This window comes from Homo sapiens, chromosome 14 (assembly GCF_000001405.40).
Source record: "Homo sapiens chromosome 14, GRCh38.p14 Primary Assembly".
NCBI lineage: Eukaryota > Metazoa > Chordata > Mammalia > Primates > Hominidae > Homo > Homo sapiens.
Genome location: NC_000014.9, coordinates 80,702,050 through 80,727,904, shown reverse-complemented (window position 1 = coordinate 80,727,904; position 25,855 = coordinate 80,702,050). Strand labels below are relative to the sequence as shown.

The 25,855-nt window shown below is 34.7% G+C and overlaps 1 protein-coding gene across 16 annotated transcripts in view; it reads left to right on the top strand.

Annotated features, from left to right (window-relative positions):
- Positions 1-25,855, top strand: part of CEP128 (centrosomal protein 128) — a 482,534-nt gene that overhangs the window by 231,598 nt on the left and 225,081 nt on the right. Inside the window, exon 20 of one of the 16 annotated variants that reach the window (XM_011536495.3) lies at positions 1,686-21,095. The exons of the other annotated variants lie outside the window; for them this stretch is intronic. Within the exon in view, the coding sequence (XP_011534797.1) occupies positions 1,686-1,714 (29 nt within the window). The 3' untranslated portion in view covers positions 1,715-21,095. Of the gene's footprint in view, positions 1-1,685; positions 21,096-25,855 lie in introns of those variants that run through there. 16 annotated transcript variants of the gene reach the window in all.

Here is a 25,855-nt window from a genome sequence, read left to right as displayed (position 1 = left end):
GTGTATAAGCATTCCCTTTTCTCTGCAACCATGCCAACATCTGTTATTTTTTGATTTTTTAATAGACATTCTGACTGGTGTGAGATGGTATCTAATTGTGGTTTTGATTTGCATTTCTTTAATGATTGGTGATGTTGAACTTTTTTCATATGCTTGTTGGCTGCATGTCTTCCTTTGAGAAGTATCTGTTCATGTCCTTTGCCCATTTTTAATGGGGTTGTTTATTTTTGCTTGTTGATTTAAGTTCCTTACAGATTGTTGATATTGGACCTTTGTTGGATGCATAATTTACAAATATTTTCTTTTATTCTGTAGGTTGTCTGTTTGTTGATAGTTTCTTTTGTTGTGCACAAGCTCTTTAGTTTAATTAGGTCCAACTTGTCAATGTTTGTTTTCATTGCAATTGCTTTTGGAGACTTCCTCATGTAATCTTCGCCTTGGTTTTTCGGTCTCTTTTTTGGTTTCATATTTTCTGGCAAAATATTGCATTAAGATTTGGCCTCTCCACTTCTGTAACTCCCTCTGACTTCTGGAGTGAGGTGACATGGATATCTAAGCTTCCCCTGAGGCTTCTAAATGCAAAATTTTAAAATTTATTAAATTTTTTTACTTTATTGTAAATTGATCTTTATTTCACGTTAAAGTGAGATGCTCTACTGCTTCCTCATGATTCCCCTCTCTGCTAGGTAGAATTGTTACCTTATTTTTGTTTAAGTCGTGGTATAAGGTCGATGTTAGACAAGGGGTAACTGTTGTTTGGCCTCAGGAACATTTCTCTGTGTAAAGCAATCAGAACTCTTTCACAGCGGTATTGTACTTGTCTTTCAGTTTCCATGCCTCCATAACCATGTTCAGGTGACTAATCATCTTATTTCTTTTCCACAGCTCTAATTCCACCCAAATATGTAGTTTATTTTTCATTAACAATTTTGTATGCAATCTTTTCTCAGATCAGTTTTCTATCAGGAGCACTTAGAAATTGCCACCACCTTTTAAAATTTCCAGTTCTCAAATATTTTGTTCACCTTCCAGCAACTCACTTCCAAAGTTTATTTTGTAAAATATTAATAATTATGTACTCATTAAACTATATTCTCTTCCTTTTAAAATTCTTTTTCCTTGAAATATCCACTTATTTATATTATTAGCTAGGCAGAAGTATTAAATGAGATTCATGACTATATAATGCACATTTGGCTCGATGGCTTACATTTTTCTCCTTAAGTTCAGTTGGTGCTGATTCAAGCACTTGTCTTGCACAGGCAACCCATAGGCAAGCCAAAAGCAATTTATTTTCAAAGACTACCTGTTAGTGTCTTTGGAGTGTGTGATGCCATTGAATTCCATATATGAAAGAGGACACTCTCTGCTTTTAGGGAATTTAAAATGTTAATTCAGATAAAAGACAATTTACACAAAAATTTACATATAAAGCTATGAAAAGGAGTGTATATATGTGGGTGCATGTTTTTCAAAAGGGAGGGGTTGTTGATGGAGTAGCTCTAGTTGGTTCTACAGTTCTTTTCTTATGTAGGTTTGGTGCTTTCAAAGAAGCAACCACTTAAGGGATCTTGCCTTCTGTCTTTCATGACTATGAAATCCTATAAATACTCTGAGGGAATATAAATTACAGGTTACGGGATCAGTCATCAAGAAAAGATTTTCTTTGTGCTTTTTGTTGTTAGGAATTTTCCCTATTAATACAAGGTTATAAGCTCCTGAAGCCTTGGCTAAATCAGACACATCATGGCTGTCATGGTCATCAGACATAGGAGATGTCTGTTGGTTTCTAAACCACAAGAGAAGGTAACAAGTACCTCTGTTTTGGGGGATTTGGGTATTGGGAAGGAAAGGGTGAGACATATTCTGGTTGCCTACAAAAAGGATCTTATAGAAGTTACTTATTTGTTTTTATAGATAGTACCTTATACTACTTGTTCCTTATTCAAGGTAAAGGAATGTAATTGAATGGTTAGAGCATTTACTGGGGAAGTTGTGGTTTTGGGAAACAAAAGCATTTTCAGATCACATTTGTTCAATTTGTGATTTCTGAAAGATCTACCAATATAGCTGAAAAATACCAAAGCCTGATTATTCCATATAAATTAATTAATTAGAGTTAATGTTATTTAAGAGTTTGAGATCTTTTCTACTGCATACTTCTTCCGGAGGGAGATTTTTCTTTCAGGATTTTAACTTTGTGAATTACAATCTTCTCTAATTAGCATGAACTTCCTCTTGTACCAGAATTCTAGCATATTATAATTCTTGGAGTCAGAAAACTTTTCCTGCTTGGATATTAAATTTTCATCAGTTATGGGTCATTCTTGTTGGGGATAATGTGAAATAGAGGGAACTTGTGTTCTGGAATAGTTAATAGAGGTAAAGGTGGAGTAAATTATCTGCAGGAAAAAGCACTGGGGGCTGGGCGCAGTGCCTCACCTCTGTAATCCCAGCACTGTGGGAGGCTGAGGCGGGCAGATCACTTGAGGTCAGGAGTTCGAGACCGGCCTGGCCAACATGGTAAAACCCCGTCTCTACTAAAACTACAAAAATTAGCCGGGCGTCATGGTGGGCACTTGTAATCCCAGCTACTTGGGAGGCTGAGGCACGAGAATCACTTCAACCTGGGAGGTGAAGGTTGCAGTGAGCCGAGATTGTGCCACTGCACTACAGCCTGGGTGACAATAGTGAAACTCTGTATCAAAAAAAAAAAAAAAATTGGGAAAACAAGAATGACAAAGAGTAAACCTAAACTCGAGAATTGAATTCCAGTTGCCAATAGAGGGAAAAAACTGAGAAATAAGACACCCATGGTGTATAATAGGGGCAGATGGAGGTTTTCCTTGTTCTTTTCAAACACTGACATATATATATATATATATCATATATGTATATATATATATGATATATGTATATATGATATATATGTATGATATATATTATATATAAATGTATGATATATATATATAGTAGGTGCCCAATAAATAGTTGTTTAGTTAAGTAAGAGTGAATGAACAAAGGAGCAAACAACAAGGCAAGGAGGCTAGAGTATACAGTCAGAAGTAGCATAGGAACTATCCTGAAAAAGAAAAAAACATTAAGCCTCTGATATATTTTTGTAACAGCAAGGTAAAACACATTTATAAACATCTTATTGAAATTTCAAGAAGAGTGTCTGAGTTTCAGTTGAACGCTAGACAGTGTATAGAAATCAGTAGCAAGTCCTACTGTCAACCCCAAATGTGTAAATTATTATTGGATATCTTTTTCTAGTATGTGTCTTTATCGTTAAGGTAAACATAGAATAATCTAAAAGCTTTTCAGAGGTTAATTCCAGATTTTTACCTTTTCTTTTTCTATAGAGTCTTGAATTTCACAAATAAAATTTGGTCTTCTCTGTTTCGTTTGTTTTGGGAACCTGTCACCAGTAATTAGGAGTAATGAAAAAGGAAGTAACTTACTTAAAACAATTCCAGATTGGCTGTTCTTATAATGTATCTATTTGGATAAATTATTAATTATTATTATATTATTAAGTATTGAACTAATTGAGGGCTGAGATGATTTTATTCAACGTCTTAAGTGTCTTTTATTCCATAACACACCACAAATGTTGGGTGGATAAACAGATGGATGAATGAATTATTCTTCAGCATTCCAAATTTTAAAGTAGACTTTGGATCCAGTAATACCAAATGAACAAAAGTGTTAGTAAATAGCAACCCTCTTTAATTGTGAGCACATGGTTCCTGAGACTTAAGGGTCAGGAGGAAGCCAAATATTTGAAAGCAATAGCATACCACAGAACCAATAACAGTACCCAATCTCCATAAGGCTTGTCTGGTTTGTTATGGTACTCAATTATTAAATGAGGATAACAGTTTTAATCTTTTAACTGTTCTGTTTCTACAAGCTAACTTCAACCCCTCTGGGTTCTGTTTTATGATGATGGATGATTGTGTTCTGTTCTGCGTAAGTTACTATTTGCTAAAACTTCCCAGGACACTGTGTAAGGTTTCAGCAATAGCTTCCAGTTAGCTCTTCATCTGTTCTCAAGTGACCTGGCAATCTTGCCCTTCTCTGTGAAGTGGGCTTTGTATGGTCTCCCATTGCCTCAGCCAATTAAGACCTTAAAATTAGGCTTTGAGGAACCCTGCTCATGCTTCCAGGAACATAATAGCACCACTTTTCATTGAAGGAGATGAGAAGTGTTTAAGTTTGGCCAATGAACAAAGCAAGGATAAAAACAAGTGCTAAAATCATAATTAGCCCTGAATATTTTAATGCAAAAAGGGTATCACTTTTTGGACACTGTTCTACCATTATGCTAGATTTCCCTCTATAATTTATGGTTCAAAGTTTTCACTTCTTATAGAGCCAATTAAGTTTATGTAGTAAGACATTTTGAAAAGGGTACTACACTGTTATTTTTGAGGCAAATAACTTCACTACCCTAGATTTATGCATTGATTAAAACATTTCTGTTGTCTCCAGCCTGAATACGATTCTAGAATGTGAGTTCTTTAAAGGATCTTTCTTTGATTTGGGTGGAAGCGATGAGCAGGTTTGACAGTGAAGTATGACACGTTTATAGGTTTCATACATATTTAAAAGTTGTTGTTATCAAATAGTGATTACCTTAATGTCTATTGGTAGTAGTTTGACTCATTTCACCTTTAAGGATTCTGGCATTTTTATATTACATGGGGACTGTCTTTTGCTCACTCTACCATTCTAGATTGGCAATTCTCTTAGTAATGTTTAAAAGATAAAGAGGGCCGGGTGCGGTGGCTCATGGCTGTAATACCAGCACTTTGGGAGGCCGAGGCGGGCGGATCACAAGGTCAGGAGATTAAGACCATCCTGGCTAACACGGTGAATCCCCGTCTCTACTAAAAATACAAAAAATTAGCCAGGTGTGGTGGCGGGTGCCTGTAGTCCCAGCTACTTGGGAGGCTGAGGCAGGAGAATGGCGTGAACCCAGGAGGCGGAGCTTGCAGTGAGCCGAGATCGCGCCATTGCACTCCAGCCTGGGCGACAGAGCAAGACTCCCGTCTCAAAAAAAAAAAAAAAAAAAAAAGATAAAGAGTAACCTCTGCTACCAGATGACAGAATGCTGTCCTCCTCCTCCTCCTTGTCTTCTTCATCTCTGTTTGCTTAATTGTCAGTTGGGTATCAGATGAGAATGGCAAAATTGGTATTCCTGTTTTAGTGACAAAATTATTTGTAAAGGAAAAAGTTTAAAGAGAAGCTTATATATGAACATTCTGTTTTATAGCTGTTAAATGCTTCAATAAACATTTTTTCTTTTCTCAGCTTGAAAACGGCAAAATATATTAATGATACATGTTACATTTATATATATATTATATATACTTATATGTGTGCGTCTGTAATATATAAATATGTATACATATATCACATATACATATGTTAGTGTATATGTGTATGGATTTTACACACCAAAGAACAGAGATGATTTTGTGTAATCTTATGTTGATTGCATTTTTAGAATGGGGTCTCACAATATTTAGCCAGTCTCTGGAGTCACCACAGTGTTCAGGAACCAGCATCAGAAAATACTTATGATATTTGTGTTGTGTTCTACAGTGGTGATCCTGTTCATAGCATGGCATGACGCTGGGTGTTTCTCAGTAGTGACACTATGAATAATTTGAACTGAACATCCTTGATGGTTCAGGCCACCCCCACACACTGAAGGACATTTGGCTATCTTCGGCTCCAAAGGATAAAATGGATATTAGTGTCCATGCTCTGAAACAAGAAAAATGCCCTCTTACATTTCTTTTAGAGAACTACTAAATGCCTTTCTCACAGCACCAAAAACATTTTAATGCATTTATTTGTTTTATTGTTTATATCCTTCCGTAAAACTATAAACCACATGACAGCAGTAGCCTTGTCTTAAATATATGTGTTCCATGACTAGCACAGTATGTGACCCATAATCATTTAATTTAATTCATGTTTATTCATCAGACAAAATGTAATACTAACTTAAACACTTGCCTAATTATTTATGCTTATCACTTTGCTCAAACAATTATTAAGCAACGTTTTGAAATCATTTAACCAGAGATATCATATCATGAACTTTATCCACTTATTCACGAATTCACCTGTTTATTTATTTATATCCTGACTTGTTCGATAACAGATTTATGCAGAGTTGATTTAATTTAAAATGTACATCATTATGGAGCTGTGCTGTATAAAAGAAACATAACAAGACAAACATGAGCTACATGTATAGTTTTAAATTTTCTGATAATAAAATATTAAAAAGGTAAAAAGAAAGTGAAATTAATTTTAAACATGTATTTATGTAACCCATTATATCCTAAATATGATCACTTCAACATATAATCAATAAGAAAAATTATTGACATATTTTACATTTTGTTTTTCAACTGAGATGCCAAAATCCGGCATGTATTTTACCCTTAGAGCACACCTGAATTCCAACCAGCCACATTTCAAATGTTTAATAGTCATATGTGGCTCATGGCTAACATATTGAACAGAATAGCCCTAGAGGATCATTTATACTGGCCATTTTTTGGTCTTATTCTTTTTATAAGAGAATCATCTGTAGTATGATTGCCAGGGTTGTCGAGTTCTCTTTGGGAAGTCCAAGATGATGAATGTAACCTGAAGCTCATATTCTCTAATATTAATCCTATTTATGAAAAAATCTTTTATATGTAAAAATTATTTAAGGGATCTTACAATATAGACAATTTATAGCCATAATACCAATATGTAAGAAGGGAAATTAAAGATGTATAGAAATTATTTTCATAGATTCTTTGAATTCTTAAATTTTCTACGTAACTTTTTAAAAAGGTAGGGAATAACACGATTATGCACCTGGGTAACAGATAAAGATAACGAGCAAATCAGAAAGATGAACAACTCAAGGATATTTATTTACCTTCATACTTAGGTTTTCTCTGTGTTGTATAGATTGTGGTAGAGAATTTGGATGGTTGTTGAATTTAGAGTTTATTCTTAAATTCGTAGTTCAGATTTTTGGTTTAGAATATAGAGGCTAGTAAATATTCTGATCAAGTCAAGGTTATTTTCCATTCAGACTAGTTTGTCTGCATTGCTTAGATACTTCGTTTCCGCTACCTAGACCAAGTTGTCTAGGTCTAGTTTTTTATTTTTCAAAACTTAGCACCTGCTGATGAATTTGGAAGAACTTTTATTAGCTACACAGGAAGTAAATGAGAAGAGACCTAATATTTTCTGAGTACCTACCATATACCAAGACTTACGTTACATAATTTCTCGGACAATCTTCCATTTGATGTGGATATTTTTATTCCTGCTTTATTAAGGGGGAAGCTGATACTTACAGAGTTAAAGTAACAAGCCTTGGATCCATAGACAATGAAGAGATTTCTTTGTAGAATGTGGCTTGGCTGGGAATGCAGGGAATGACACAATATCTCCTTATCCACATTTAATCATGGCCCTTTCCTGTCATTCACCTCTCAGCAGCTTGCAGTATTCATTTTGTGACACTCAACTACTGTCCTTCAACCTTTCAATGGACCGTGCACTTAGGGAAACATCCCAGTTTTTTACCATGATTAGCAATATCCCTTCTGCCCATTCTCCAGCTTCACCCATTCTCCCCCTTCAACTTGAGCATTATGTTCTGACACATTTTATGCTGGCCTTATTTTTGTTTCTCTTATATGCTGAGGCGATTTCTGCCTCACAGGTGTCACAGTAGTTTTTTTGCCCCCATCTCGTTTACCCTGTAGCCCCCACCTCCCTATGCACATAGCTTTGGCCTCCTCCTTTAGGTCTCAGTTGAAATGTCACCTCCTCGGAGGGATCTTGCTCCATTACCCAATCTAAGTAGGTCCTTTTCTGTGTTTCTATCTTTGCAACCTATTAATTTACTTCACAGCACTATAATTTTATTTGCATATATATGCTCATGGATTTATTTATGTATTTTCCATCTTTCCCATTAGACTCTAAATTCTCTAAGGCCAGGGACCATATCTGTTATCCTTGCTGCGGTGGTGCACAGTTACTATGTGTTGAAAACAAATACTTGTCTTTTAGTTCCTGGATTGCCATGATTTCATTCCAAATTGTTCTTCCTGGCTTCATTTTCTCACTTCTCTGTTTCATATTCTAATATTGGCAAATTGTAATAAAAACTCATTGGGGTGACTTTTTAGTCCTATGTCCCCTCTTTCTTCTAATGAATTCTGTTTCCTTACCCACATGGATAGCTATAATCAGGCTTCATCTGGCCCAGTACTCATTTTACCACAGGGATTGTTTAAGAGATGTGATCTAGTCTGGGCCTTTCCTTGTCCCTCCTTGATAAAAAATTTCAAACTCAAAATAGGAAAGATAATCTTTTTAAAGCTTTGGTCATGGCACTGAAACTGATACAGGAAAGGTGAGCCCTAAAATTGGGGCTTAGCCCAAAGAGTTCTTAGCATACCCTGGGAAATAATTCTAGGACTAGCTGAGCTGGAGGTGTTAGCAGTCTTTTATTAAATGGTACTGCTTGGGGTACAGGGCTAAGTTATAGGCATTGCACCATGAGTCCAAAGAATGGGCTCTTGACAACTGTATTTATACTCATTTAAAGGCACTTTCAATTACATGCAAATTAAGGGGCAGGTTATTTAGAACTTCCAAGGAAAGGGGCAGTAACTTCTGCATTGTTGCCATGGAATGGGGTGGTAGCTTCTGGGTCATTGCTATGGCATTTGTAAACTGTCATTGCACTGGTGGGAGTGTCTTATGCCAATGAGCAATGAGGGCACCTAGGAATCACTTTCATTGCCATCTGCCGGTTCCTGCTGATGGCCTCACTTTACCAAATCCTGACAGAGTAACAAGTCCAGAAAACAAGTCCTGCCCATCTCCTTCATCAAAAGGTTATAAAACTTTTCTGTCAGAAACCATATTTCATGTGAAGAAGAGAAAACTGTCAGTGATAGCAGAGAACTAAGCCAACACTCAGAAAAAAACAAAGACGTGAAGCAAATGAGAGGTTCGCTGGTGTTAAGCCCATGTACCTATTTAGCCTGCTTTATGCCAGTGCCCTTCTTGATCAGATACAGCTTTTCATGCCCTCTTGTTTTGGTTTAAACTGTTGGACTTTGCTGTCTCTCCTCACAGAGTCCTGACAGATTAATGTTCTCACAGAAGAGACTGTCAGAATCCTTTTGTTTTCCTGTGATAAATTAAAAAATACTCAGTATCACTACAAGATCACGTGAAACTAAGTTTGTGTAGTTTGGAAATGGTGGCTCCACTCCTGCAGCTACTGTGTATTCTGTGTTCCAAATTCTCACTGTCCTTTCGGTTTCTGAAAACCTAGAGAGGTAAAATATCTATATGTGATATGTGTATAATACAAAATGGTTGTAAACTTGTAGACTGTATGATTTAATTACTAAAACTGTTGTCTTTTTATGCCATATATATTTGAGGTCTGTCATTAAAACTAGTTGTTTAAATTTTTCTCTGAGTCACCACTTTGAAAGTAGTATTTAGAAGCAAATGTTATGCAACTTTACTTTTGCTGAAAAGATGAAATGTGATGTATATACCTATAATGTGAAATCATCTCTATATTAGAGTTAATGAATTGACATTGATAATTTATACAGACTTTCATTACTACTGAATCGTGTAAGACTTGTTGGTGATATTATTCACACCTCATGTCATTCACACCTTCAACTACATGAAAAAGTAAGTCTCACCATTTTGTCTTTGTTGAGTTATATGAAAATGAGGATCACCAGCCTTGGCAACATGGAAAAACTTCATCTCTTCAAAAAACCGAAAACAAACAAACAAAACATATATACACACACATACACATACACATACACATACACACACACAAGTTAGCTGAGTGTGATGGTGCATGCCTATAGTCAGAGCTACTAGGGAAGCTGAAGTGGGAGAATCCATTGAGCCTGAGAGGTCGAGGCTGCAGTGAGCCATGATTGTGCCACTGCACTCCAGCCTGGGCAATAAAGTGAGACCTTGTCTCAAAACAAAAGCAAAAAAAAGAAAAATAGGATTAGTAGATAGAGGCTCTGGGTATGTGTGAAATGACATACTGAGTTAGATCAATGATCTATTTGATCTAATATTCTGATTCTGAAAGTGGCACCAAGTAAATATTTTGGTAGAAGCACAGTCTTTGCATTTTATTTGATCATTTTCTGATATTAAGTGTGTACTCTAAATATCTCAAGTTTTTTTTTAACCTTTGCACCTTAACAATCTTCTTTAATTGCTTTTATATTTTCAAAATATATAAACCTTCTTTGGGATGGTGCTCTATCACAAATGCCCCCATTTACCCCTTCTGATGCTCATGGAAGATGTTATTATATTTAATTTGTTCTAAGTCAGCTACAGCTTCATTATCACTCTGAAAACACTGTTCTAGGTAGTCTCTGCCAGCTGATTTGAATTGACCCATGAAGTGAAATTCATTTGTTAATCTCTACAGGAAATTAGTTTTAAATGTTATAGCCTTCTATTAGAACTGAAGAACTTCTTTTTTTGGGAGTATTCCAGTATTTTCATATGTTCTTTAAAATATTTGATTTCAATTCTGCTAGGTGCCGTGAAAGGGACAACTATATTATTTAAAGTAAATTATAGCAGAGTCTCTGCCTTTAAGAGCTAACAACTTGTGTGCACTACCATACCTATTAGATTGGACAATTATTTCTTTCTAAATTAACCTTGCCTTTGCCTAAGGTGCTTTGCTTTGCCCCTGTAACTCAATAATGAAATGACAAACAACCCAATTAAAAAATGGATAAAGGTCTGAATAGACAGTTCTCCATAGTAGATGTAAAATGGCTAATGAGCACATGAAAATGAACACATTAGCCATCAGCGAAATGGAAAGCAAAGCCTCAAAGAGATACTACTTTATACTCACCAGGACAGCTATAATAAAAAAGATAGTAACAACTGCTGGCGAAGATATAGAGAAATTGGAACCTGTATACACTTCTGGTGAGAATATGAAATGGTGCAGCCACTTTGGAAAACAGTCTGTCAGTTACTTAAAAAGTTTAACATAGAGTTACATATAACCTAGAAATATGCCCAAGAGAAATGAAAACATTTGTCAAGCAAAAACCCGTACACGCATGTACATAGCAGCCAAATGTTTACAACAGCCTTAAGGATAAACAACCCGAATGTCCATCAGCTGACGAATGGATAAATAAAATATGGTATAGTCATACAGTGGACTATTATTTAGCACTAAGAAATGCAGTATTAATAAATTTTACTACATGGATGCACCTTGAAAACTTCATGCATATGAAAAGTCAATCATAAGGGAACACATATTATGTGGTTCTGTTTATATGAAATGTCCTGAACAGTTAAATCTTTAGATACTGGTGGTTGTACTATCTATATCATCATTAAGAAATAGTGATTCTGGCTGGTAGATGAAATAAATAACTGCATGACTACGAGAGTCAACGTGATGGGTGATATGGGATTTCTTTTTGGGGTAACAACATGTTTTAAAATTGATTGTGGTGATGGTTGTACACCTCTGTGAATATACCAAAAGCCATCAGGTTGTACACTTTAAATGGATAAATTATATGGTGTGTGAATTTTATCTCAATTAAGTTGTTAAAAACTAGGAGTCTCATTTAATTTATTTGGTTCACTTTGCATATTTAATTCATTGAATAATCCTATCAACTTAATAAAATATATTTTGAATCTGTCCCATTCTGTAATCTTGGTTTAAAATCATCATTTGCCCAGACATTAATGCAGTGGCCTGGTAGCTGCTGGTCTCTCTGTCTCCACTCTTACATTCATCCAGTTATTTATTTCATCTGCCAGCAAGTGATTATTTTTTACTGATGATGATACAGAAGATATTAATGCTAATGAAAAAGTGGTTAACACTCATTTCACAATTTCTTTTGCCAAGCATTGTTCTAAGCGCTATAACATGCTAACTTACTCAGTCCTTACCACAACTCTTTGAGGTAGGTGCTATTACTATCCCCATTTTATAGATGAAGAAACTCAGGTACAGTGAGATTAGTAATTCATCCAAGATCACTTAACATGTAAGTGGCTGTTACATAAAGCAGATCAAGGCACACTTTTGCTTGAAGATCTCTAATGACTTTTACTCCTTTTCCCTCCTTTTTACTAATTTCCGTTCAATAAGGCTCATTTTTTGCCTTGGGTCTTTTGCACTTGCTCCTTCTGTTTGAAATGCTTTTTTTCCTTCTCATCTTTCTTGGCTTCCGTGTCACCTCCACAAGGAGGCCTTCTTCAATAACTTGAACTTGCTCTCACATTTTCATACTTCTTCATTACATTTAGTAGTGTTTGAAATTATCTTAAAAATTTTAATTGCATATGCGTTCACCCACGGCCTAATAGAACAATGCCTAGCAAATAGCAGGAGCTCGAGAAAACACTTGTTTACTACCTGACTGACTTGTGGGAGAATAGGATTTTATATATTTTTCAAATTATGGTTGAGGTCTATTTTCAGAGTAGGAAGACTATTTGCATGTCTTGACTAAAGATTCATTGTAAACACAATTTCATGTTTTTCAGATTTTATTATAATTCCTTTTTTTTTTCTGAGGCAGGATCTTGTTCTGTCACCCAGGCTCAAGGGAAGTGGTATGGTCACAGCTCACTGCAGCCTTGACCTGACAGGCTCAGGTGATCCTCCCATCTCAGCCTTCCGAGTAGCTTGGACCATGGGTGCACACCACCACTCCCAGCTAATTTTTGTATTTTTTGCAGATGTGGAGTTTCACCATGTTGCCCAGGCTGGTCCCAGACTGCTGGGCTCAAGTGATCCGCCCACCACGGCCTCCCAAAGTGCTGGGATTACAGACATGCCTGGCCTATAATTACTTTTATAAAAATAAAATAATTCCATGTGATTGATGTCTTTCTAAGTGTTGTGGTGCCTTTCAGTTGGTTTAGGGTGGAAATTGCTTTTTTGATAAGATGATATTTGAGTGATTGGACAATACTGTTATTCTTAAATTTTTTCTTTTTTTTTTAAGTCTTGATCTGCTGCTTTTAGGATGTGGTTTTATTATTGTCGGGTATGGGATGTGGGCAGAGAGTATGATGGATGGGGAGAGTAGTTCTTGGTTGTTGGTTTCATGGGGGCTTTGAAATGATATAGCTGCCGTTAGTGTGGAGACAATGTGGGAAGTTTGAGGTTTGCCTGTTAGAGAGCTCGGGTAATTTTCTAGATCCGTTCTTGTCTGATATTAGGTGATTTTTGGTTGGCAGTGAGAAATTTTGCAGTGTCAGTCATGCCTTCTTTTCATTAGTTGGACAAACACATACATGCACTCATGTGTATATTCACATATACACAAAAACACACCTTTCTGCTCTATGTACATAATGGCCTTTTAGCCACAGCCTCCCTTCTGTTACTTTTCTTCTGCCTTTCCCAGCTCAGAATGGTGGTGTTTATACCCTAAATGAGAAAAGTAGCCTTAAGTGTGTGTGTATGTGTGTGTGTGTATGTGTGTGTGTTTTGCCTTGAATGGGTGATGCAACCTATATGGACTCATGAGGAAATTTTAAAATTCCAAGTGTATGCACAACTGGAATTTTAATCCAAGCTTTAATGAAAACATGGCCTTGTTTAGTGAGTGGAATATCATACAATTAGATGTCTGAAATTTACATTTTGATAACTGCTCACTTCTGCTATAGTGGAAAAGAATACAATATTCAGTATATTCTTCCAAGTAGATTTATCTTCTCCAAATATTAAAATTGGATCCCCTGTGCATCAATAATATTTAAAGAATTGGATTATCCTAACTTTTCACTACTCAGCAGAGTGAGAGAGAGAAACACTAGATACTGAAAAATAAAATAGGAAACTGCAGCATTGGATGGCTAGGCTCCAGTTGCTTTTACATAGTTTCTAATAACCAAGATTTTTCATGCTGCTGACTCTTGATTCTTTGTGCAAATAGGCTAGTTGCAGAATGATAAATACAATTTATATAAAATTAAAAACAAAATCACTATCTTTGTTTCCAACCTTCTCTTTTACTCAGTACACGTAAGTAATGCTGAATGGAAGTTATTCTATTTTTTAAAAAGTTATGCTTTAAGTGGATACACAACAATCAATCTACTATGTGCAAAACAGGGGAGATTAAAGAACAATAAGACCTTGTCCCTCTCTTAGAATATGCTACAGTCCACTAGTGTAGATACTTACTTTAATACAGCTTTGTATGTGTTGCTGTATATATTAATGAATTGCTATATATACAGATAATGGAGGCACCATCTCTGCTTGGATGGGTCAGGGAACTAAGAGATAGTATTTAAGTTGGACTCTGAGGGTTAAATAGGAGTTTGCCAGGTGAAGAAGTAGACAAACAAACAGCCTACACACAAAGTCATAGAGCTTTGAAAAGGCCATGCTTGACCAGGAGATAGGAAGAAATTCAGGGAGGCAAGAATAAAACATTGTTTCCAAAGACAGAAGTCGTAGTATATTTCAACAAATTAGAAGCAGGAGAGGAAGAATGAGAAAAGATCACCGCGGAAAATGTGGTCTGGTATTAGATTATAAAGAGTCTTTTATATTAACTACCAGATGTTTTCCAGTGAGTAAGTGTGGTGTTTCATTTTATTTGTAGGATAATGCTAGGAGCAATGGGGAGGCTGCTTTTTACCTGCAATCCCTCCCACGTAAAGTGCCCTTCTTGATAACTATTTTATTGTTATTGGTAACAAGGAGCTATTCAACTTGGTAGTCTGCTTGTGTCTATCTTGATTGTCTATGATATGATTAGATTCAACTTTTGGTTTTTCTTTTCCAGATCAGTCAGGGTATTATCTAAGGATGGGTTGATTCAACCTAGTATTTTACAGATTAGAGTTAGTTGGCTTATGGCATTTGGAAGAGGCTTCTGGTCCAGCCTAAGCTGGATATAATGGGGAAATGCAAGCCTCAGGAAAAGTGCATCCACAGCTACCGACTTGGTTATTTCTCGTTTCACCATATTAACAGTAAAATAGCTGATGTGTTTCTGAAAGAGATAGGCTTATTGGCAGAACTTTGAGATGACTACTGTCATCTCCAGCTGCCTTTGATGAGGCTGCCAGAGTGCTTGCCTTGGATCTCCCACTTCAGAGAACCCTTCTACAAATGGAATAAATAGCTGGGTCTACGGATACATGGCTACCAACTGATAGCCACAGTCTCTCTTTTCTAAACCATGCTCTGGGTACTCAGGACCCCAGAATACCCCAACCTAGCTGCCAGAGCCCATGTGCAGGAAATATCTGTGGCCCTTCCATAGGTCAAGTCCTTCCAGGGACAGTGTGAACACCTCTCTGGGCCCAAGTGGTAGCTGAAGTGTAGTTTTCTGAGGGAGTAATAGGGGTTGGATGTGTACAGTGTTTCTGGACTCAATGCTTGAGCCACATAGGGTGCTGGATGGAGCCTGGGGTGAGATGAGAAGGCCACAGGTTGTCAGTTGTACCCTGACAATAGTAAGGACAGCCTGCCTGGATGTAATACTGTTGTTTGAGAGTGCACAAATTGAAATGATTAAGAAGCTCCAGTACAGAACTCTTTAGAGAATGAATGTATTCCTTTTTCTTACAGTTTACCATCTCAAACTCCTTATTGTGTTACAGGCAGATCCGAACATTAGTGTTCATATTGTCAAATCTTCCTACCCTCATATTAATTTCTTAAAATTTCAAATTAAAAATTTATTTCTAAAGATAATTATTAAATTATGATATTAAGTACTAATTCCCTAGGATAGCCACATGTAGTCATTGAAATTAGATTACAAGGAACAAATTAAGTTCGTATACTTATGTTTGTAGCAGAAAAAGATAATGAAGAGTGAATTGGCATGCAAATAGTTCAATAAACACCATTGAAATTATTTTCACTCGAATTTTTTATTTTTTACATTCTTTTTAATTTAAAAAAATTTTTAGGTACATAGTAGGTGTATATATTTATGGGGTACATGAGATACTTTGATACAAGCATATAATAAACAATAATCGCATTATGGTAAATGGGGTATCCATTTCTTCAAGCATTTATCCTTTGTGTTATAGATAATTCAATTATAATCTTTTAGTTATTTTTAAATGTATACTTAAATTATTGATTATAGTCACCCTGTTGTGCTATTAAATACTAGGTCTTATTCTTTCTAAATATATATTTTTGTACCTATTAGCTATTCCCACTTTCCCTGCAACCCCCACACTGCTCTTTCCAGCCTCTGGTAACCAGCCTTGTGCTCTCTATCTACATGAGTTCTCACTGCTATTTACTACTGCAAGTAATAAGATGTTACAACTGTAATTTTACATATATTATCTCTTATAAGCTAGCCTCTTTCTTATGTATGTTTGAAAGGGAAGTGATTGTTATTATGATGTTAATTCATGCTATGTAAGTATCATATTAGTGTGGTTACACACACACACAGACATATAGACACACACACACACACACACACACACACACACACACACAACATAGTCTTATATGTCAGTCTTTAGACCATATTCTAAAGGGAGTGGTTTTTTTCTTCATTGGGAAGAAAAAGGGCAAGTAATACAGGATTATTTTAGAGTAGTTACTGGAAAGGTCTCCTAAGTGAATTCATTGTGTTATATTGCCTCAGTCCAACATTTAACTCGATCTATAGAAACAATGAAAACCATTTCTTGAGAACAGAAAAACAAACAAAATTAGATAGCTTCTCATATAAGCCAAAAAGCTGCTTTGTTTTTAGCTGCTATACTGTTTCTCTTAAGAGGATGGATGTTCATTGTATTTGATAAGTTATCAAGATTTACTTTAATGTTCCAGAGTGTGCAAGTTAATGATTTCAGACGATAATTTTTTGTATCACTTTAGAGGAAACTATTGGACAATTTGAATATCAGATGGTTTATTTCCAAAATCATATTATGGTCTTGAAATTGTTTTGGGTTAATGTTTTGCTGGAGTTTGTGCATTGTCAGTTCTTGTTATTCAAAATCACGTTTGATTTTTTTATTCTGTTCAAGAAAATATCCAATTAAAGTCAATAGAATGCACATACTATAAAATTCCTGACCAGTTAGTAGACCATTTGGACAGGTTGATGTAGGATCAAACAAAAAGGGGTTAATTTGATTGTCATGTTTTAGGAGAACTTTAAATTATAAGTCACTTGCTTTATATTCAGTTGTATAGTACTTAATGAAAGTATTTAAATAAAGTAAATCTATTTCTTTAATACTTATAAATATCCAGAGTAACTTGTGGAAGAATTTAAGAAATTATGTTTTATGAATTTGATAAGTTACTCTTATGTTTTCACAATATATTTTAATTATTTTCATAGGTGGTGAGACGTGTATGAATTCAGTTGACACCAAAGTAGATGCAAATAAATATATTTTGTTTCTTTTTCAAGAGTTAAATCTGAATTTCTTAACTTTTCTTCTCTCCTATACTCAATATATCATACTGTAATTGTGATATTTCTCATGAGAAAACAGTCAATAAGATCTCTTATCTAGTAACATATATCTAGTGAGGGAGATGTGAACAACAGATAACTGGCCTCTGTTCTAAACCCTTTGGTAATGGGAATTATGTTTGCACCAATTTATGGCATGATTTCATTATTAGATTGTTAATACATGTTCTTAACAAATAGCAGTATTTTGCAAATAGTTGTAGGTATAGAATATCTGTTTGTATCCTCATATCCTCATATCCTCAAAAGGTCCAGGGTACAAAAACAGGGTACAAAACAAATTGTTGTGCTGGCTTTTTTTTTTTAAGACAATTCCTTTTTTGGCTACTCTCTTATTCTTAATTTTTCTCCTAGTTTTTAGATTTGTTATAGTGATACAATAATTTACTCATTTGCCATTTCATAAGCAAACTATCAAAATTGTTAATAATGAAAACTGAACCAATCAGAAAAAAACCTACTGATAATATGCAAAAGAAGACCCCATTCATTTATTGATAAAGAAAATAAACTACCTAGGTGTAATTAGCCTTAACAAGAAATGTCAAAACCCATATGAGGAAAACTGAAATACACATGTGAAAGATATAGAAGTATACTGGAAGAAATGAAAGGCATATTAGTTCCTTGAATAGGAAGACTCAAACATCATAAAATATCATTTATTTCTAAGTTATTTTTTATATGTAAAGCAGTCTTAATGCACATACAGTCAGATTTTTTTGTATTAAATGTATCTTGAAAAGTTGATTATAAAATTCATTTGGAAGAATGAAAAGGCAAGAATATCCAGCAAAATGCTGAAAAAGAAGAGAAGTGAAAAGGTTAATGCTACCAGATATTAAAACATAATTTAAAACTGGCTGGGTGCAGTGGCTCATGCCTGTAATCCCACCACTTTGGGAGCCTGAGGCAGATGGATCACCTGAGGTCAGGAGTTCGAGACCAGCCTGGCCAACATAGTGAAACCCCATCTGTACTAAAAATACAAAATTAGCTGGGCATGGTGGCAGGCACCTGTAATCCCAGCTACTCGGGAGGCTGAGACAGGAGAATCACTTGAACCCGGGAAGCAGAGTTTGCAGTGGCTGAGGTCATGCCATTGCACGTCAGCCTGGATGACAAGAGCGAAACTCCGTCTCAAAAAAAAAACAAAAACCCTAAAAATAATAGTAATAATATAAAACTTAGAGTTTTATTTTATTATTTTATTTATTTATATTTTTATTTTTTTATTACAGGCGTGAGCTACCACACCCAGCCTAAAACTTACAATTTTAAAAAAATTGACTAGAAGGACTACTAGAACAGAATAGAAAATCTCCCCAAATAGGCCCAAATACTGAAGGAAATTTAGTTTACAATGAAGCTAGAATTTGAAATCAGTGGAGATGGATATACCTTTTAATAAATGTGCTGTAACAACTGGATATTTATATGGAAAAATATAAAAATTAGATCTATTCTGACACCATTCATCAGTATAATTTTAAATGGGCCAGAAGTTTAATGTAAAAACTTTAATTATTCAAATACTATAGGAAGCAAATGCTTTTATAATGTGGCTACAGATTAAATTTACATGACTACTAGCTAAAATTCAGAGGCAATCAGGGAGTAAAGATTGACTAATTTGATTGCATAGCAGTTTTTTAAAATGGCAAAACATTTTCACCATAAGCAAAATAAAAAACAAATAATGGGTGCAGCACACCAGCATGGCACATGGATACATATGTAACTAACCTGCACATTGTGCACATGTACCCTAAAACTTAAAGTATAATAATAATAAAATAAAAAATGGAAAATAATCGAAAAAAAATGGAAACAGTATTTGCAAGTCTTATCACAGACAAGAGGTGATATTCCCATATCCCTAATATATAAACAACTTATTAAAAAATCCAAATGCATGACAATGTCTGTGAGGCTGGGGACTGTGAGGAAATAGACCCTTTCAAACATTGCTTGTAGGAATGCAAAAATGGTACAATCCTCTGAAAGTGACTCAGAATCTAGTTAATTTTCATAAGCATTTTTTGACTCTTCAATTCCCCTTTTAGGAATGTATATCAAAAGATACAGTGAAAACAATACAAAATTCCAGTAAATAACGCTTCTTATGCGGCACTATCTTTAATAGCAAATACTGGAAATAACCAAATGTCCATAGGGGACGTGAAGAAAAAAAATGGTACATCCAGAATATGTAGTAGTATGCAGCAATGAAAAGGAATGCAAATATTTCTACATCAAATGGCACATTAATCTACAGGATATACCATAATATGAGATAAATGACTTATATGCTACTATTTAAGAAATGAGGGTACTATACCTATTTTTGACTTTAGAACAATGTAAATATTTTATGTAATTTTCAAACAAAGTTAATGTTGAACAGAAGAAATTTCAAGATAGCTATATATCCTTAGTGGGTTATACCTTAATGACAAAAAGGATTGCAAAAAAATTAGATTTTTTAAAAAACATATTTTCTTGTGGTATTGGTGGTATTTTAGACAATTATGTTTGTCTTGAGGAATAAATCAAATGATTAATTATATAGGTATTATTGAAAACTGAGATTTATGGATAGATTACTAAGGTTAAGTAAAAATCATGTAGTAGTAAATTTGAATTGTATCAGTATGACCTCATGTTGGATTTTATCTTAAACAAATTTTGGGTTTGATGTGTATGTACAGCTTCACAAACAGAGACCAGTGCAGTTATCAATGAGTGTATCTATAGCACCAAGATTATGATATTTAAATACCATTTGCCATGAAAAAAGTCCCCAAAACTCCTTGGAGAATTGGTTGGTTCTGATCAGGTATAAATATTTACGTGGTAAACTTGGAAAGTCTTAGTATTTCAGAAGCCAAGGAAGCTATCAAAAACTAGGCTCACCCTCCTCAGGCAGCTCTAGCACGGGCCAGTGGGATATCCAGCAGATAAACCAAGCTGAACAAAACAACACTACAAGGTCTCTGAAAATTTAACTGTCATTAGAACCATAGCCTACAAAAGTAGGTGAAGACCCACATGATAAACCTAACCAGAGTGATTGCCTGCTTAAATAAAACATTTAAATAGAACCCACAGTCTCATAACATAACAGACAATGTCTAGAATATGATTTTAAAAATCACTTGCCATACCAAGAATCATGAGAATAAATAAAACAAACATCTGCCACCAACATTGAAATAAATCGGGTACTGGAAATAGATTTAAAGAAGGAATCATAAAAATTCCTGAACAATCTCTGTCACAAATGGATAATCTCAACAAAGAAATAAAAGTTATGCAAAAGTACCAAATGGATGTTATGGAAATGAGAAATACAACAACAGAAAGAAAAATATCACGGATGGGTTGAGTAGTAGAATGAGATAACAGAAGATAGAATCAACAAACTGGAAGAAAGAATTCACCTCATTTGAACAATAGGGAGAAAATAAATTGAAAAAGAAGAAAAAAGAACAGAGCCACAGGGACAATAACAAAAGACTCAATGTTTATATCATCAGATTCACAGAAGGAGAGGAGAAGGTTGTGCTGAAAGAATATTTGAGGACATAATGATTGAAAGCTCCAACTTTGGTAAAAGACACAAAACTAGAGATCATAGAAGCTGAGTGAACCCCAAGCTGAATGAACCCTAAAAGACCCACATCATAATTAAACTTTTGAATACTGGAGATACAGAAAAAATATTGACAGCAGAGATAAATGACAGCTTACTAATAGGGCAACAGCAATTTGAATGACAGGAGATTTCTCATCTGAAATCATGGAGGCCTAGGCTTCACAGGTGATACACTGTATAGAACTTACACACACACACACATACACACACACACACACGAGTACAAGTAAAACTGAGGAATACTTAATAAGATTAGTGAATCATATCGATGTTGATATCCTGATTGTGATATTGTAAATATATCTGCAAAATATTGCCATTGTGGAAAACTGGGCAAAGTGTACAGGGATCTCTTTGTAAGATTTCATTCTTCATTCTTGAAAGATGGTATGGAACCAGCTTATTATTTTGAAAACAGGTAGATTAAGATTAAAAATCATTTGTCTTGCTTTTTCTATATGTTTTTTTTTGTCTTATAGTAACCAAAGGGTTGATGAGGGAAAGTTTCTTCTAGAAGTTCCAACTAATAAGTAAGTGAACAATTTATGATAGAAACGGAATATCATTATTTTGCAACTCCTTATTTGTTAATTTACTAATGGTCATCAGTGGCTGCTAATGCAAAAATAGAAGCATGTAGATGATATATACCTGCTTGTGGTACAACACAACATCCTTGTACCTGTCATTATTGTTACCAAAAATTATCACAGAACTTAAGGACTTAACCATTTTATTACTATAAATTTGGAAGATTTGAAGGCTGGGGCTGACTCTACACCTGAAAAATTGATTCGTCTGAGAATTTATTGACTCACCCATCTGGAATTTATCTAGGGATGACTAGAAGACTAGCATTGCCTACAAGAGAATCCACATATGGCTCTCTATAAGTTACCACTTCCTCACAGGATGGCTGCCCCAAGGCTCCAAGCACAAGTGTCCCAGGTAACAGTGCAAAATCTCATTGCCTTTTCTAACCTAGCCTGGGAAGTCACACAACATCCCTTCCTTGCATTCTATTGGTTACAAAATAGTCAAAAGCCTACCCACATTCAAGGGGAAAGGACTGGTCTCCTCAGAATCCCCCATTCCCAGCCCCACTTTTCTTCAACCTCTTGATGGAGGAAGTGTTGAAGATTTTCACATGTTTGTAAAGCCACCACATTCTTTGTGAATTAGTCTGACTAATTCTCTCTCACCTATACACACAAAACTGAACCTGTATATGACCAAAGCTCTGGGTTTCATGAATACATAGGAATCATTTTAGTCACTATTTAGACTGGAAAAGTTTGCATGACAAAGGTCTGTTTTCCACTAAAAACAAAAAAACAAAACACACACACACACACACAAGTGGAATAAAAGGAGCTAGAGGGAGAATCTAGATTAAAAGGGATTTAAGAGGCCTATCAAGCAATTCAGTGCATGAAATTGCATTGCATGATTCCAGTCCAAACAGACAAACTTTAAAAAATTTTGGGAAATAGGAATACTGATTACTTCTTTCATGATATGCTGTTAAGGATTTTTTTTTTTGGTGGGATAAAGGCATTATAGTTATGTTTACAATATAAGAATAATTTTATTTTAGAAATATATACTGAAATATTTACAGATGGGATGATATGGTTTGATATTTGCTTCAGACTTATTGGAATGGGGTGGTTAAGTGGCTTTGGATACAGGTGAAAAAGATTGGTCATGCATTGATGATGATTGGAGTAATGTATATATCAGCTCATTAAACTGATCTACTCTGTTTTTGAATAGGCTTGAAAATTTCTACAATAAAAGAGTTTAAAAAAGGAAAAAACGAGGCAAGAGGGAGAAAGGTAGAAAGAAAGAAGAAGGCAATAAGGAAGAAGGGAAGGAGGAAAGGGCTGAAGGAAGGAGAGACAGAATCAGTTTAGGCTAAATTTTGACATCAGTATCATTACCATCCTAATTTTATAAAAAAATTATAGTCAACACACCTCTTCATGTTTCAAGCGTAAAAATGTAGGCCTAAAGTAGTTCTGTATTTTTTTCAATTATGACAAATAGTCCTGATAATCTCCATTAAAATACATTCTTTTCCATTTGTTAACATACAGATGTGGTGGAAGAAACATAAAAACTTGCATTAGAGCCTTAAAATTCTAATGTGTACATATTCTACACACATATGTTTATATATAGAAAATATGAAAATGTGTATACGTCTTCCTCTTTGACATTTCATTCATTTTACACTCATAAACTTTTTTAAAAAAATAACTAAATCCTTCATTTTATATACAATATGTTGCATCTTTTCTTCTTTTAGAAAATTTAGTTTGAATATTCTTTTGGCTAGAATTAACTCTTTGGCTAGAGTGTTTACTCTGTGGTTTTTGTTGCTCTCCAAATGAATACTGGCTGCTTAAGTCCCAATTTAATCTTAGTAAAATCTTCTAATGATCTAGGACTACATAATTGAAATTATTTCCCAGAGATGCTTTCATTCTAAATTTAATTGTGTGGTAAGGAACAGATAATGATGTTATTTCTAGTGTGTTTTTCTCATTACATAAGTATCTTTCTTGTTAATCTAAATAGTTTCTTAATTCTAGTGGTTTAAAGTTTTATCAATAACCATTTTGTGGGTTGAATCTAAATTAAGATGCTATTGCCCAGATAATTTTCTTTGCTTCTCTTTTATTTTAAAGAAAAATAGGGAGGAAGGGAGGTAACTGTGGCTATAAATTAGTTGGATGAGGGATCTTTGTGATGAAACTGTTGTTTTGACTCTGTTGGAGTTCACAGTACATGTGATAAAATGATAGAATTGCATGAAACTAAATACACACACACATACACATATACACACACACAAGTGTGGGTAAAAACTAGTGAAATTCAGATAATGCCAGTGGATTGTATTAATGTCAATTTTCTAGTCGTGATATCCAATGGCAGTTAAACAAAATGGCACCATTGGGAGAAAGTGAGCAAAAGATAGAAGTGATCTCTATTATTTCTTATTATCTCACAATAATAAGCTTAAAAAGTGACATTGGTTTTAATATTTTTGAATTGGAAATTACTATTATAAGAAAATCAGATAGGAAACATAGTTAAAATAGTAAACACTTTTTTTTTTCTAATTTCTCCAAAAGCTAAAAGCTTTTGGATTTTTAAAATTTTAAATTAGAGTAGAACTTGAATGAGTTCTTAAAAACATATTGTTTTACAGAGAGTCCTTTAAATGTGCCATGAAAACATAAATTTTGCTAAAAGTCTTAAATAACTGAAGGCTTGTTAACTGGATGGAATATTAAAGATAATGCAGTCTGATGGAAGATGCTATAGAATTTATGGACAATACTTAATTTGGACTTAGAGACATAGTTTTTAGAGCTGAGAAGGGTCCTTTTATAACTTATTTGTTCTTAACAACCTCATTACAAATGAAGAATTGGACCCAGAAAGGTTAAGTGATTTTTCCAAGTTCTACTGTTTTTTAACACAAGAGTGATTGATTTTGCCTGCCTTTTATCTCTGGCCTTCTTTTTCCTACCTCATCTGCCAATCTGTGTACTTTTACTTTCTATCTTTAGAAGTTGTTATTTTTCATTAGTTCCATTCTCTCCAAATTTACCATAAAAATAGTTTAAATACATACGTACATACATACATACATAATCTTTTTATAGCATACATTTTTAGTTGGTGCCATTTATGTGATTTTAAAAACCCTACTATGCTTAGGTATTTTGTTTAGTGTTTTGCTTTATATATTTGTGTTTCTTATGTCTTGAATTTTTTTTCCTGATAATGAAGTAGCTCTTAATATAGCAGAGTTCACAAAATAAGCAGGCAGTTGCTGCAAGGTATCCAAGCAACCATTGGAAACACACAAACCTCAGGGTGAAGTTAAAAACATGCACTTTAAAGTCACATTGCCTAGATTTGAGTCCTAGTTCTACCATAATACCAACTTGGGTAACTTTCTCAACCTCTCTGTGCCTTAGTTGCCTCATTTATTCTTGCAGGTTGATAATATTACCTGGTAAGTGGTTGTATCAAATGAACTGATATATGTAAAGTGATTGAATAGTATCTAGGAAGTATTCAGTAAATGTTAATTGCTATTTTTATGCAAATGTCTTCATTTTGGTTTTACTCTCATTAGACATCACTCAGTCCAGGGCCTGAACTGGGAAACTGGGAAGGGTGACAATAAGAATATGGTGAGGAATGCACACACAAGGAACAATAAATCCTCTTTGAGCAGCTATAATGTCAAGGGCAAATGGATGTATAGGGAAAATGTAATTTCTTTAATTTGGTCTATAACAAATCTGATTTTCCTCCTAAACCTTGAACCTTTGATTAATCTTTCCTTCAAGAAATATTTGTTTAGTGCCTACTACAATGTCAGGCTCTATTTTCGAAACTAGAAATATGACCGTGAATAAAATACACAAAAATCCCTGTAGCTGTGTTTCTTACATTCTATTGGCAGGAGACAGACAACAAACAAAAACAAATACATAAATTATAGAGTATGTTAGAAGGTAATAATTGCCATGTTGAGAAAACAGGGAAGGAGCTTTTGGGGGCT